General features: G+C 40.8%; 1 protein-coding gene and 1 long non-coding RNA gene across 3 annotated transcripts in view; both read left to right on the plus strand.

Moving 5' to 3' along the window:
* SRGAP2C (SLIT-ROBO Rho GTPase activating protein 2C) overlaps positions 1-16,863 on the plus strand; it is a 207,900-nt gene that overhangs the window by 157,874 nt on the left and 33,163 nt on the right. The window lies entirely within an intron of this gene.
* On the plus strand, positions 6,090-6,952 carry LOC107985193 (uncharacterized). Its single transcript, XR_001738200.3, has 2 exons — positions 6,090-6,176; positions 6,904-6,952. It is a non-coding gene; the product is annotated as an uncharacterized LOC107985193 (long non-coding RNA).

Consider the following 16,863-nt stretch of genomic DNA (forward strand, 5'->3'; position numbering starts at 1 on the left):
AGGAAACTGCTTTGGAAGAGAAATGTTACATAAATCAAGATATCCTTTTCTAGCTGACTTTAAGTTTTTAATTTAAGAAAAATTCTTGAAAGAGTCACAAAAACTTTACTTTAGAGATACACTAAATGCAGGACGTGTTGACTGATAAAATAGATATTCTTCTTGGAAACAATGGAAAATACTTCAGTATCATTTTGATTAAATCTTGCTTAATAACTGTTCATTAGACTCATATCAAATCCTGTCTTGGCTTTGTTATTTAATTTAATTTAATTTTATAGTCATTGTTACCCAACCACAAAAGAATTACCCCTGTGCTTAAGGCCACACAGATTTTTCAAACATTGATATATCAGCATTGGTCCTTCTGATGAAACACAAGATGAGGTTTTCCCTGCTGAGTGTCAGGCAGTCTGTCTCAAGCTGCAGGCTGAAGCCCCAGTGGAATCTAATTCCATCCTTCCAATCCCCTTCATATGAAGAGTGGGAAATAGTGGGAATGGAAATTAATTGTACCTGCTGGCATTATTAAAGTTATCAGTGCGTATCCCCTCTTGGGCCAGGAAGATTAAAAAGGCTGTTGTAATCAGAGCAGATGATTTCTGACACACTGGATGGGCTTCCTACCCAGGTTAGATGTAAGGAAGTGATCTGAGCTTGTTGCCTCTGGCCTGATACCACATAGCTCAGGGCTATGCAGTGTCTGCTTCATCCTCCCATCAGCCCTGGAGGAAAGCCAGGATCCTGCTCTCTGAATCAGAGATCTCTTAGTTGGAAAATCAGGCCTTCTCACTTAAGACTAGTGTATTCTGGCTGCGCATTCCTCACAAGATGTAGTCAGGTTAGGTTAGACCTTAGAGTCACACCTTGTTCAGGTTCAACCTGAGTGAAATAAGGAATTGAGGTGCTGCTCCCTGGTGATTCAGCTCGTTTTAGCAAGTGTTTATTAAATGCTTTCCCCAAGCACCACACCAGGCCCAGACAATTCTGCCTGTACACATCCTGTGGTATTTGTTGGTTGGAGGAAAGATGCTCTTGTAGTTTATGAATTAAAGAAAAAAAATTCCTGATCTGGGAATGAGAATCTTATCCTACGTTTCACACTGACTCACAGCCTAACTTTGACTGTGAATGCCGCCTAACTTTGTAACCTGTCTAGGACTTAGTTTTCTAATCTGTAAGATAATGGTTTGGACTAATCTCTCTAAGATTTATCTCTGAAATTCTGTAATTAAGTGAGGGAATTTCTATGAAAGTGCTTGGCAAACCATTGGGCTATTATGATAGTTCTAAGTGGAAACAGTATGTTTCCTCAATACACAGTGAATTGAGTTCTGACTCTCTGGGGCAGATAGATTTCTGACTTTCTGGGCCATGTGTTGAAAATATGAAGATGGCTGACGTGGCCCCTGATATTGAATACAGTGTCTAGTGGGAGAAATAGACATGCACATAAGCTATGATGATACAGTGTAATAATGGGTTCTTGGGTGGAGGGAAATATGAGGTGAGGTTTGCCTTATGATGTCCTTTGTATCTTAGGAAGAATGGGAGTGTAGGAGAGGGGAGCATAGGGGATTTCTGGGAGATAAAACCATTTATGCAGAAAGCAAGGAAGTATAATAGGTGAAAAGCGTTCCGGAACTACAGGTGGTGTGGGTGAGGATGGCTGCACACAGGTCCCTTGTAGGGGAGTGGCAAGCGATGAGGCTGAGGAGGTGGGCAGGGCCTTGCCTGCCACATCAAAGGGCTTATACCCTGAAGCCAGTGAAGCAGAAGCCCCTGTAATGTTATTGTTTTAACTTCTTATTTTGAGATAATTTCAGACTTAAAGAAAGATTGCAAAGTAGTCCAGAAATTCCTCTGTACCCTTAACCCAAATTCCCCAAATGTTAAAATCCCATCTTTCCAATATTTGGGGGCGAGATTTTTAAAAAATCTCGTATAATCACAGTACAATGATCAAAATCAGGAAATTAACACAGAGGTAATACTATAATCTCTCAATCTTACTGAAATTTCACTTGTTGCCTTGCTAATGTCCAATTCAAATTTCTGGTTCAGGGTTCAGTTTAGGATCACACATGATGTCGAGGTGAACTGTCATCTTAGTATCCTCTAATCTCTGACAGTTCCTCTGTCTTGCTTTGTCTTTCATGGTTTTAAAGAGTTCTGGTCAGTTATTTTGTAGAATGTTCCTCAATTTTGGTTTGTTTGGTTTCCTCATGATTGGATTCAGTTTAAGCAATTTTGGCAAGAACACCGTAGAAGCGATGTCATATTTTTCTTAGTGCGTTATATCAGGAGGCACTTGCCGTTGATTTGTCCCCATTACTGATGGTGATAATTTTAATTACTCGGTGAGGATGGGTGTCCCCTTTGCACTGTAATAAATGTCTTGTGAAGATACTATGTAAATATCCTATTTCTCCTCATCCTTTGCTTACTAATTTTTAGCATGCTTGTTAACTGAAACAATTCTACTAGCTGATTTTACCAAGAGAGTGCCATGGACAGATTTGCCTTTTAGAAAGATTACTCTGAAATGTTTGGATGTGAGAGAGATGTGAGAACAGGGAAAAAGTTACTACAGTAGTTCATTCAAGAGCGGGGCCCTGATCTAAGGCAGTGAGAGGAGGAGTAGAGAAGACAGAAGAGCCATTTAGGCTATGTTTGGAATCAATAAGCAGGGTTTACATTTTGTGCTATAGATTTAAATGCTGGAAAAATTCTGAAATGGGGGAAAATATCACATTTTTTATAGATTAACAGGCATCTATATAACCTCTGGGTTGCTCTTCTTTTTTTTTTTTTTTTTTTTGAGATGGAGTTTTGCTCTTGTTGCCCAGGCTGGAGTGCAGTGCGCGATCTTGACTCACTGTAACCCCCGCCTCCCAGGTTCAAGTGATTCTCTTGCCTCAGCCTCCTGAGTAGCTGGGATTATAGTATGTGCCAACATGCCTGGCTGATTTTTGTATATTTAGTAGAGACAGGGTTTCACTATGTTGGCCAGGCTAGTCTCGAACTCTTGACTTCAGGTGATCCACCCGCCTCGGCCTCCCAAACTGCTGAGATTACAGGCATAAGCCACTGCACCCGGCCCTGGGTTGCTCTTCTAAGAATAGCTGACTTTATTAAACATATTGTAGGTTTCATTAAATGATGTTTCACAAGGTGTTGCTTCTCCTGGACCAAATTCCTGTTGTTCAGCTGAGAGCTATTTCTAATCTCCAGTGTGGATGTGCTCATCATTTGGTTATAGGATGTGAGCAAATGAGATGGTGTTCTGCGTAGCCCTGAGGCTGCTTCCATTAGCCCTTTCCCCAAACTTTTGCCACTTTCAGGCTTAGCAGTATCCTCTCTTGGGTTCAGAATGCCTGCTCTTTGCCCTAATACAAAACCTAGAGCTGTAGGCCATGTTCTTATGATTTGACAGTATCAGGGAAGCATTTCTTATTGACTTTTCCAGAGAAAGAGAGAAAATAAGCAAGCCGGCAACAAGACAGAGGGGAAAAGGGAAGTGGCTCAGTTCTTACTTTAAGAAACAACATGGAAGATATGTTTGTTGATTTGAGGGTGGTGAATTTTTGCACTATAGCTTTGTGAGGGAGCTGGAAAGAGCCTTTCAGTTTTTCATGACTGGGAGTTTAATTTGGTTTATAACATTACTTAAAGATAACTTTGAAATTGGTCTAAGAACTTAGGGTTGTTCCTGACCCCAGGTCAATGGCCTACTTGACCTAGGCGAGAGAAGAAAGAGTTAAGGATAGGGAGTTGAGCTTTTTGCTCCAAAATCTATAGAGGGTACACCCCTCTTATATTCTGGAGTCTTACTGGGTTTCTGAAAATGCCCTTGTGGGTCATGAAACAATAGCCCTTTGAATATTTTTCTGCCGCTGCTGATGTGAGCTGATTAAACTGGCAGGCAGATGATGGAAGGAATAGTTACATGTCCCAGGCGGGAGGTCATGACAGTTGGATCTGTGGTTGACAGAAGAATTTCAACACACATTCAAATCAGCTCCTAAGATAGATTGTCTGAGTTCCCTGGGCCTGCCTCATGCCCTCCTCAAATGCATTTGACTCCTTCTGGCCCATAATACTCACACTTCAAATGTTTGGCTTGGTGTCCACAAATCAACTCAGGGCCGGGGTAGGGGTACTGATGAGCAGTGATGCCCTCTTTGGGAGCTACCACAGCATAGGAAATGAACATTAGACCAGGAATCAGGTAACCTGGTTGGGGACCCAGGGCTCTAGATGGTTTATTTTTTTATTTTCCTTATTGGTTAAATTCCCTACCGCAGTTTTGACATTCTCTTCTGGATACTGACTGTGGTCTAGAGAAACAGCTAAGGAAGGCAAATCTGAATTAAAATCTGGTTCTTGGGAAAGAACTGAAGTTTTCAGATTTTGCAAAATTATGGAGAGTGCAGACTAGGAGAAAAAGGACAGGCATAGTTGTGACAAGGAGCTATTTTTTCTAGTTCTGCATTCTAGAAACAGTACTGATGAGTCCAAAAATATAGAGATAAAATTTTGTCTTTTTTCTTGCTTTAAAAAAAAATGCTTCTAAATGTCTACATACTTGCCTAAGAAAATATTTCTCAACTCCTCCAGAATATTTAGGGTTAACTAAAAATTATAAAAACATACCACAGAGCTAGTCCACTCTTTATGCCTAGGGTTTACCCAAAAGGTCTGCATGCTCTGGCTTGGAGACCCTGACCCCATCTCAACTTGCTGGTTTTAAGTCTACATATTTGGCTGCAAAGCCCTAATGCCAGGAGGAATGCAGAACTGACGAGTCCACCCCATCTACAAGCTAGAAGGACATCTTGATTAAATTAGTGTCAAGGGCTGTGGAGAGAAAGGCACAGTGACACAAAGGGTGTTTTGAGGAGCCCTGTAGCGCCTGTGGAGAATGAATGTTCTCGTTAAATATGGCCGTGACCTGCAGCTCCACACATGCCAGAGACACAGCTCAATTGTCCCCAGGATTTGGGGGGTGGGGACGATCATGGGGAGAGGACAGCCTGGCATGGAAAGGCAGGAATGCAGGAAGGCCTGTTGTTGTTTTCTTTTTGCGATAACTACAGCAAGCAATTCTTTGATCATGGTCCTTGTGTTTGGAAGGGATCAAGAAGCGATTTCCTTTCCCCTGGGTGTTTGAACCTTTGCTCTGCTCCTTGCTTCTCTGGGTATTAAGGGGACTCCTGAAAGCCCCCATTGTCTTCAGCCTCTTTCCACCCCCTTCCTTGGGGCTCCCCAAGAAGACTGTTGCCTGAACTCTGTAGGGCAAGAATGAGAAGCAGTGCCCCCAAGACAGTGCCTACCCTTGTCATTTACCCACCATCCTCATCTCATTTATCCTTAAGTCCCAAGACCAAAGCAAAGAACACATGGGCTGTTGAAGGCTTCCACAGGACTGCCCTGGTCAGTGGGAAAGCAGTAATGCTTTCTAGCTGGGTAACCCCTTGGCTGAGTTCCATCTGCACTGTGGCCAGGGTGCGTGGTGAGACATGCTTTTGCCATTTGCCCTTTGAACTGCCAACAATCCCAATGTAGCAAATGGATTTAAAGCTGATTGAGTTTTAGATTTCTTTCCTTTAACCAGAATATTCTAGCAGCTTATTTTTATAGTTCTGCTTGTATGATTCTCTTTTTAACAGATGGAATCACAACCTTTTCTGCAGTATATATCTGATGAATTTAAAAACTGATACATCAAGAATATTCTTTTGTATATGTCTTTCTTGCTGTGAAAATTTATGGCCTTTCTTCCCCCTGTCTTTGCTCTGTAATTATTAGGTGCTTACTATATGCAAGGCATTGTATAAGATTAGGAGAATACAGATAAGACAAAATAGCATTGAAGGAGTTTATGAGTTCAATTCCAACTTCACCAATTAATAGTTGTTCTCATGGACAAATTTTTTGACCTCTCTAAGCTTTAGCGTCTGTAAGTACTAAGTGCTTTTTGTGCAGAGAGATGTAGAGAGGTGAAATTTGAGCTGGGTTTTTAGTGAATGAAAATGATTTCAGTAATTAAAGATGAAAAAGTACGGAGTTTGTGAGCATGGAGGGGGAGCTGGAGTCAAAGGATATTCCATATGGAAGAACAGGCTTCAGGATGAAGGAGAGCACCGGAATGTGTGAGGACTCTTCAGAGGGTGGTGAGTAAAAATAGTTTGGCTAAATCAGAGTGTTAATGAGGAGAGCAGCTTGAAACAAAGCCGAAAAGAGCCTCGAATGCCAAACTTGGAGTTTGAACTTCATTCTGAGAGCACTAGGGAACGATGGAAGACCTACTCATAGGGAAATGATAAAATATTGCTGCTATTTCCAAAAGACTGGGCCTCTAATTCCAGGACAGGGTAATAAGAGCCTGAGATGTGGTAGCAGTGACAGGAGGAATGAAAAGAAGGAGACAGATGCCAGACATATCATGAAGGAGAAATGAACAGCGTATGGCCACTTATTGGAAAGAGAATTCGAAGTCAGTGATTACTTCTTTCAATTTTTTTATGCTAGTGCCACTTAGGAAAAGCCAGTGTGCTGTTACAGAATTTGAGGTGGCTGGTGAAGCTGACATTTTCACATATGTCTCAGGAACTAGATGCCCAAATCTTTCTCAGACCCCAGATGGCCCCATATAGAGCTTTTATACGTGCCAATTTTTAGAATTTCTTGTAGAGTTCCTCCATTTGGTGGTCACCAGAGGATCTCTGAGATTAGTATCTGGATTCTTAATCATTCAGCTAATTTCAGAGATGTCCTTTATTTGAGGTAGATTTAACCTCCTTTTTCTGTTTGATGGAGTGTGGTTTTTGAAAAGTCCCTAAGGAAGTAATGTGAAACCATACTTGAAACCTCAGGCTTGCTTCTCTCTTGTTTTACCAGAATGCTTTGGTTACCACGTCCTGGGAAATGAACAACTTAAAACGTAAGTGTGGCAAGCCTTCACTATCACCAGTATCTGTTCATTGTATCAAACAAAGCATATTTCCATTCTTATTAGGTTTCCAGAATTGCACTGGGCCTGGTGAGGGCTACAAATAAACATAAGATAATCTGTTTTCAAAATTTAAACTTAGAGTTGTGCTTCTAGAAATGGAAGCTTTTCTAGAAGAAAATTCAGACCAATCCTTTTGCTTCATGGGAGCTGCTTTCCTTGAAGAGGCTTCTGCCATTTTAGAAAATATTACTGAGTGTCAAAAAGCTGAGCAGAGTGTTTAATAGACTTGTAGGGCTAGCAGGACAAATATGGAAATTTAAGGCCCAGAGGCCCAGGATGGGTAGCCTTGGTAAAATTCCCCAGGCTTTGAGACACCAAAGGGATACAATTAAGAAGGAAAGATAAGCCAGAAATAGACTAAGGCAGTTTCATAGAGACTGAAGCCTGGATTCAAATTATCTTAACCTCTAATTGGATTAAGGTGATTTAGGATAGCCAGTGGCTAGAAACAAATTTAAATCCTCTCTAGAGGAAGATACTGTGGAAGATACTATCATCCTAGACCTAATATATCTCTCATCATTTTTCATTATTATGTTTGGCACTCAGTTATAAATAATTAGGCCTATGAGGAAATAAGAACTGTGACCAAAAGCTAAGAGAAACAGCTAGACACACAGGAGATCCTAGTAATGGTGTTAACAGATGCAAACTTTAAATTAACTATGTTTAATATGTTTATGAGATTAAATTATAAAAACAAACCTGGAAATAATAAAAAAAAATAACTCAAAATGGATCAAAGGCATAAATGCAAAAGCCAAAACTATAAAACTCTTAGAAGAAAATATAGGTGTAAGTCTTCATGATCTTGGATTAGGCAATGATTTCTTACATATGACACCAAAGCACAAGCAACAAAAGAAAAAATAAATAAATTGAACTTCATCAAAGTCAGAAACCTCTGTGTTTGAGAGGACACTGTCAAGAAAATGAAAAGACAGCTATAGAATGAGAAAAGGTATTTTCAAATCATATATCTCATCAAGGTCTAATTTTCAGAATATATAAAGAATTCTTACAACTCAGCAACAAAAAGATGACCAGTCCAGTTTAAAAATGGGCAAAAGACTTGAATAGGCATTTCTCCACAGAAGATACACAAATGGCCAACAAGCACATTTTTGACACTGTTATTTATTGGGCTACTGCAAATCAAAACCACAATGAAACACCACTTCACACCCACTAGGATAGCTATAATTTTAAAAAGGAAGAAAGAAAAGGAAAGAAGAGTTTTGGAGAGGGTATGGAGGAATCAGAACCCTCATACATTGCTGGTGAGATTGTGAAATGGTGCAGATGCTATGGAAAACTGAAAATTCCTCCAAAACTTAAGCATAGAATTAACCTGTGACCCATCAATTCCACATCTAGGTGTATACCCAAGAGAATTGAAAACATATGCTCACACAAGAACTTATACACAAATGTTCATAACAGCATTATTCAAAATAACCAGGCTGGGCACGGTGGCTCACGCCTGTAATCCTAGCACTTTGGGAGGCTGAGGTGGGCAGATCACGAGGTCCGGAGATCGAGACCATCCTGGCTAACATGGTGAAACCCTGCCTCTACTAAAAATACAAAAAAATTGGCCAGGCGTGATGGCAGGCACCTGTGGTCCCAGCTACTGGGGAAGCTGAGGCAGGAGAATGGCGTGAACCCAGGAGGCGGAGCTTGCAGTGAGCAGAGATCGCGCCACTGCACTCCAGCCTGGGCGACAGAGCGAGACTCCATCTCAAAATAAATAAATAAATAAATAAATAAATAAATAAATAAATAACCAAAAAGTGGAAGCATCCCAAATGTTAATGAAGTGATTTATGGAACAAACTTAAACAAAGTATGGCATACCTATACAATTTAAACAAAATGTGTCATGTCCATACAATAGAGTAGTATTTAGTCATAAAAAAGAAGGAAGTGCTGATACATGCTACAATATGGATATACCCTGAAAACATTATAAGTGAAAGAAGCTAAACATAAAAGGCCACATATTATATGATTCCATTTATAGTAAATGTCCAGAGTATGCAAATCTATAGAGACAGAAAGTAGATTAGTGGTTGCTAGGAGCTGGGGGAAGGAGAGATGGGGAGTGACTACTAACAGGTTTGAGTTTTCTTTTGGCATGATTAAATATTCGGGACTTAGTGGTGGTGGTTGTACAACCTTGCAAATATACTAATAGCCACTGAATTGTGTACCTTGTAGTGGTGAATTGTACAGTGTGTGAATTATATCTCAATAATTTAAAAAATCAAACAAATTTTAGTACAAAAAATGCAGTAACTAAAAGAGCTCAATGTGTAGATCAAGTAGCAGATTAGATGGTGCTGAATAAATAATTAATGAACTGAAACGTCAGAAAACAATGCATACTGAAGCTCAGAGAGATAAACAGATGGAAAATACAGAAAAGAGCATAAGAGACTTATGGGATAGGGTAAGTAGGCCTAACATGCTTCTACTTGAAGTCTCAGAAGAAGAGAACAAAGAGAATGGGATAGAAGCAATATTTGAAGAGATAATGGCTGTGAATTTCCCTAAACTATAAAAGACTTCAAGCCACAGACTGAAGCATTATGAGCCCCAAACAGGAGAAATACAAAGAAAATACAAACAGCTAGAGGTAAAAAAGACGTATTATCTTCAGTGGAGCAACAGCATGGTTGACAGCTGACTTCTGAACAAAAGCAATGGAAAGCAGATGACAGTGGAATGAAAGTGTAGAAAGGAATACCCTTCAAAAATGAAGGTGAACTAAAGATGTTTTCAGACAAGAAAAATATGAGAAAATATATCGCCAGCAGACTTGCACTAAAAGAAATACTAAATGGCATTATTTAGGCAGAAGGAAAATGATCCCAAATAGAATCTTAGAAATGCAGTAAAGAATGAGGAGCAACAGCAACTATATATAAGAATATAGATTGGCCGGGCACGGTGGCTCATGCCTGTAATCCCAGCACTTTGGGAGGCCGAGACGGGCAGATCACGAGGTCAGGAGATTGAGACCATCCTGGATAACATGGTGAAACCCCATCTCTACTAAAAATACAAAAAAATTAGCCAGGCATAGTGGCGGGCACCTGTAGTCCCAGCTACTTGGGAGGCTGAGGCAGGAGAATGGCGTGAACCCGGGAGGCAGAGCTTGCAGTGAAACGAGATCAAGCCACTACACTCCAGCCTGGGCAACTGAGTGAGACTCCATCTCCAAAAAAAAGAAAAAAGAAAAAAAATATAGATCTAAGTGAATAATCACTGTTAAAAACAACACTAATAATCATCTGTGGGGTTTTCCTTTTTTAGATGTGTGGGTGGGAGGGACAGAGTCTTGCTCTGCTGCCCAGCCTGGACTGCGGTGGCACAATTATAGCTCACTGCAGCCTTGAACTCCTGGGCTCAAATGATCCTCCCACCTCAGCGTCCCAAGTATAACAGCTGGGACAAGAGGTGTGTGCCACCATGCCTGGCTTATTTTTTATTTTTTGTAAAGAGAGGGTCTATCTGTTGCCCAGCCTGGTCTTGAACTCCTGGCTTCAAGTGATCTTCCTGCCTTGGCCTTCCAAAGTGCTGCAGTTACAGGCATGAGCCACCACACCAGGCCAACCCTGTGGGGTTTTAAATATGTATAAAATTAATATAAATGACAACAATGAAATCAACAATAGAATCTGTGTCTGGGTGGGGGTAGGGAAATGGGTTTAAAGATATTTTCAGAAAGTGGTAAAAGTAGTAATTTGTATTAGGTGTTGGCAATTCAAGGATATATGTTGTAATTTTTGGTAACCACTCAAAGAATAGTATTGTACCAATCTAAGAAAGGGACAAATTCAGTTAATAAAAAAGTAACTCAAAAGAAGGAAAGAAAAATTCTGGGGAGGGCAAAACTATAGAGATACAGAACAAATCAATGGCTTCCAGTGGTTAAGGGTAGCGGAGAGTTTGACTCTAAAGGTGCAGGATACAAGAGGTTTTTGGTGGGTGATGGAACTGTTCTGTGTCTTAATTGTGGTGATGGTTAGACAACTCTGTGCATTTGCCAAAGCACATGGAACTGTATGCCAACAAGAGTGAATTTTCTGAATGTTTTGTAAATGGAAGAAAAAAAGAAGGTAGGAAAGGAGAGGAAAGAGGAAAATAGAAGAGGCAGGACAAATAGAAAGCAATTAGCAAGTTGGTGGGTTTAAACCACAATATAAGGTGTAAATTGACTTATGCAAATTAAAGACAGATTTTTAAAAAGCAAAACTAGAGTGTATGTTGCTTGTAAGAGAACAGATACACTTTAAATATAAGGATAAAGAAAGATTTAAAGCAAAGTGATAGGAAAAGATAGCTACAATAAAATCAGGCCAGGTAGATTCCTTTCTTTCTTTCTCTCTCCTTTCTTTCTTTCTTTCTTTCTTTCTTTCTTTCTTTCTTTCTTTCTTTCTTTCTTTCTTTCTTTCTTTTCTTTCTCTCTCTCTCTTTCTCTCTCTCTCTGCCCCCCCACTTCTTTCTTTCTGTCCTTTTTTTTTCTTTTTTTTTTTTTTTTTTTTTTTCTGAGTCTTGCTCTGTCACCCAGGCTGGAGGGCAGTAGTGCAATCTCAGCTCACTGCAACCTCTGCCTCCTGGGTTCAAGCAGTTCTCCCGCCTCAGCCTCCCAGATAGCTGGGATTACAGGCATGCGCCACCATGCCCAGCTAATTTTTGTATTTTTAGTAGAGACAGCGTTTCACCATGTCAGCCAGGCTGGTCTCAAACTCCTGACCTCAAGTGATCTGCCCACCTGGGCCTCAAAAGGTGCTAGGATTACAAGCCTGAGCCACCGTGCCCAGGCAGTCCAGGTAGATTTCAATGCAAAAAGTATTTTTCGTTATAAAGAGAGACATTTCCAGGCTGGGCATGGTGGCTCACTCCTGTAATCACAGCACTTTCGGAGGCCGAGGCAGGCAGATCACTTGAGGTCAGGAGTTCGAGATCATCCCGGCCAAAATAGTGAAACTCTGTCTTTACTAAAATACAAAAAATTATCCAGGCATGGTGGTGAACACCTGTAGTCCCAGCTACTTGGGAGGCTGAGGCAGGGGAATCACTTGAACCCAGGAGGCGGAGGTTGCAGTGAGCCGAGATGGCGCCACTGCACTCCAGCCTGGTGATAGAGCGAGACTCTGTCTCAAAAAAGAAGAGAGAGAGACATTTCCTAGTAAAGACTAAGTTTCCAGGAAGAAATATATACTTAATAACATAGGCTTAAAATATGTAAATCAAATGGGACAGAATTAAAATGGGAACTAGATAAATCATCACCCCAATGAGAGATTTAACACACCTGTCTCAGTGAATGATTAAACAACTAGACCAAAAAAGTCAGTAAAAATACAACAAACTTGACCTAAATGACATATATGGATACTGCGCCTGACAACTGCGGGTAGATACACATTCTTTTTTTTTTTTTTTTTTTTTTTTTTTTTTGAGACGGAGTTTCGCTCTGTCACCCAGGCTGGAGTGCAGTGGCGCGATCTTGGCTCACTGCAAGCTCTGCCTCCCGGGTTCACGCCATTCTCCTGCCTCAGCCTCCTGAATAGCTGGGACTACAGGTGCCCGCCACTACGCCCGGCTAACTTTTTTTTTGTATTTTTAGTAGAGACGGGGTTTCACCTTGGTCTCGATCTCCTGACCTCGTGATCCGCCCGCCTCGGCCTCCCAAAGTGCTGGGATTACAGGCGTGAGCCACCGCGCCCGGCCAGATACACATTCTTTTCAAGTGTACGTGGAACATTTACAAAGTTTAAACCTGAAATGGGGAGGAAAAATCGAAGAGCTTAGGGGAGAAATTAGAGCTGGAGATTGGAAATCTCCATTTCCAAAGTCTACCTTCTTTTTCTCACAATTCCATGATTTTTCAGTAGGAGTGGGGTACTGGCCAAGAGGGAAGGTATCCTCCCCCAACAATATTGATTTTTCTTTTTTCAACTGTATGTAGGCCATGACTAATGGGAATGGCTACCCATGTGTTTACTGTGGACAAAGACAAGAGGCTTCAAACCACCATTGTAGCTGAAGAAAGCTGATACAGGCTCAAATCTTCATCCCAGTCCCTAGGCAATGCATTCTAATTTCTGTCAGTAAAGGGCTCTACTCATTCTCCCAAAGTTGGCTTTGTGCTCCTCTTAGGTCCAACCCTGGCACCTGAGGTGTCAAGAAAATGCTGTCTTCATAACTCACTGGAGCCTCTTCCTCTCGATTCTAAAGGCTACTCCCAGTGTTCTAAAACTACACAGATCTCTCGATGAATTGGCTTTGCTGCTGGGTTCCTCTTTCTTAAAAGTATTTAATCAGCGATTTTCCCAGTGCCCCAGGCATTTCCTGTACGAGTGCTGCTGACTGTTTTACTTCCTACCAGGCTGCCCTCCTCCTCTTGGCATTCACACTTCCAACTTTCAGATGAGCTCTATTAACTCCTGTTCTTCCAGCCTCCGCCTGGCTCAGCCATCTGGGAGCCACACAGGCATTCTTTCCATCCCCCAGCTCATAGATTTCCTTATTGTAGAAGGGCATATGTTTTCAAGTACCTTATCATTCTGGCTCTTTCCCCCGATTCTCTCCCAGTTCCAAGCCATTGATTGTTTTTCCTCCTTAGTTCATTTTACAGCTGCTGAGAGATTTGAGCTCTCGTGTTGCCTGTTTGCTTTTGTGTCTTTTGTCCCTTATGTCCCAGTCTACTCAAGGATACCCACAGTCACCTAGATACCATTTCTACTCTGTGCTTTTAGTGTCCTGCTTGGGAAATGGGGTGATCACTCATCTTCAGAATGACCTCAAGAAATGCTTTGGCATGAGAGATCAGGGCCTGAAGACATTACGCCCCCACCCAAATCATTATCCAAAAGGGTAAAAGATGGAAATTTGCCAAGACAAAGATCACAGTGGTAGTTTAAGAAATGAAAGCTTAGATTTGATTGTCTGTTTTAAGGGATGTTGTTTTGAGTTTATTTTCTTAGTATTAGGATAGGTCATTCAAAGAGATTGGAACAACCATGGAAGAACATTCAGATTATTATAGGACTGTGTTTCAGACTGGGAGAGCAGAGGGCCATTAGCCTCTTCCTGACCCCACCCTGAACTCCCCTGAACTCCCACCCTTGTCCCGAGTATGCCTGTCCCTGACAAGAGACTTTGGTCAGGGACCAAAGTGAGCTTTGTTAGTGAGCATTCACAGAGGGTAGGAGCTGAGTCCATGAAGTTCACATCATGCCAAGGAATGGATTTCCTCCCAGGGCCACTAGCATTACTTGTGGGTTATCAAGTGTTACTGCTCACACATTCCAGAGCTTCTGGAAAAGCCGTAAGGAAATGGCTTTCAGAAAGCCATTTCTGTCCTAGAGGAGAGAGGTCCTGGATTTCACTGAACCAGAACTTGATGGGTGGTTTTGGTATTCTGTGACCTAGGTAGTGGGGAGCTCCTTCCTTTGGATGTTTCCTTTATGCCCACAGTCGAACCATATCCTAGTTGTACAGCCAAGAAGGATCTTTTCTGTTTAATCTATCTGGAGGAATAGAAGGTAATTGTATCCTCCTTATTTTCATTCTGCCACCCCTACCTTCATCATTTCTTCCTTTCTGCTAAGCACTTTTTATGATCTTTCTTTGTTTTGTTTTGGGAGTTTTGTTTTTTTGTTTTCTTTCCTCAGGAAAGCTGAATTATTTCTTACAGAGTCATTTAGTTCTTACTGAAACTGGGGAAGAAAAAGATTATGCAACAGCAGGCATAAGGAAAAACAGAGAACGTTCTTCCCTTCGGGCCCACAGAGCCCATTGGAGGAATTCAGCTACAATCCTGCCTGGGAAGTAGTTTCCAGGACCTTCGCAATTCCACATAGCATCTTTAACATGTTTGAGAGTACGTAAGGAGGCAGCATAGTGCAGCGGAAAGAACACTCAAGTGAGTGTTGAGGGGGCTGGATTCTAATATTAATATTAGCCAACATTTATTGAACAGGCTAGGTGCTAGATTCTGTTTAAAGCACTTTATGTGGATTATCTCACTATTCTTATTATCCTATTTTACAGATGTGGAAGCTGAAGCATAGAGGGTTTAAATATAATTTACCCAAGGTCATCAATTGGGGAGTAGAAGTAGGATTCAATTCCTGCTCCAGAGCCTGCATGTTCAGCTCTCTTTTAATACTGCATGTGGTCCTTGATAGGCTACTGACCCTGGAAAAGTCATTTCAACTTTTAGGGCTCATTGGTGAACCATAACCAAAGGGAGCTCATTGTGGCTAACCTCTGATGGAGTTTCCACTTTTAATAATTTATATGATGCAATGCAGCTATATTGTTTAGTTCTTGTCATTATGTGAAAGCATAGTATTTAAACTTTGATCTCATTGATTCAGCAACTGATTATTTTATGGCCACTGTGCACAAAGCAATGGGCTGGGTACCACAGAGGATTCAGAAAAATGCTTAAAAAGGTAAAACCTATCTCTTCCATTAGCTTTAGATGGTTTCATATTGTAGTTGCTTTGAGATTTTTTTAGACTAAGTTTTTCAGATAATTAAACAGGAATCAAATTCAAAAACTATTCATATTCCAGAAGAGGAATCCTGAAACAGGTATTGGGCCTTAGACTAGTCAAGTTTCTGACATTTTCTTTTAAAATATAACTTGTCACTAGGATAGTTTATATCCATTAACTCCTGAGTGAAGGAGCTTCTGGTGAAATTGTTTTTTATGGTGCTTACAAGCTCAAGGGGTTCTTTAAAAATGGAATGTGACTGCTTTGGGAGTCACTAATACTGAAGCTGGATCATTATAACCTGAAATATCCATTAGTAACTTAGAAAGACAAATCCAAAGAAAAAGAATTTACTATGTAATAGCTGGATTTTTTGAAATCAGATTTTTTTTTTTTTTTTTTTGGCAAGCTAGATTCAATATCTAGCTTGCTGTGGAATTAGGTTATGGTGTGGAAACCTCTTGGCTGGGACAGGAAAAAAAATTGATCTTAAACTAAAAAAACTAACTTAAGATATTCCATTTCTAGTAATACCTTTGAGATTGGAAGAATTGCATTCTGATGGGCCCAGACGTTAGATTAATGTCCATCTTTCTCAACAGGTTGTAAACTTTTAAACTTTCTGTTTTGCATTCAGACCACAAGTGCCTGACACTTAATAGATGTTCTATAAATATTTGCTGATGGACTCTTTATTGCTCACTCCCTAAAATCCAGCCATTTCTCCCTTGCCAGCATTCAATAATTGAACCTGCTTTGAAACATCTGATCAGCCACTTCAAGACGGCAAGTTATTTTAGCTCCTGTCTAAATAAGTTAGTGGGCTCCAGTCCTTAAACCACTATTTTCTTTATTAATTCCTCAAGTACAGACTTTTGTATGTAACCAGTCTTTTTAAACCTGTGTATAATGACTCATTAATGAGTTGTAAAATAAATGTAGTGAGTTATGACCAATATAAAAAAATAGAAAAGGCCAGGCACAGTCGCTCGAGAATATAATCCCAGCTACTCTAAGAGGCTGAGGTGGAGGGATCTTTAGGCCAGGAGTTTGAGACCAGCCTGGGGAAACATCACGAGACTCCATATCTGAAAACAATTTTTTTAAAAATTAGCCAAGCATACCTGTTACCAGCTACTTGGGAAGCTGAGGCAGGAGGATTGTTTGAAGCCAGGAGTTTGAGACCAGCCTGAGCAAACTCAGTGAGATCCCATCTCTACAAAAATTACAAAAATTAACCAGCGTGTTGGTACACATCTGTCGTCCCAGCTACATGGGAAGCTGAGGGAAGAGGATCACGTGACAGTTGAGCCCAAGAGTTCAAGG

Source organism: Homo sapiens, chromosome 1, assembly GCF_000001405.40.
Source record: "Homo sapiens chromosome 1, GRCh38.p14 Primary Assembly".
NCBI lineage: Eukaryota > Metazoa > Chordata > Mammalia > Primates > Hominidae > Homo > Homo sapiens.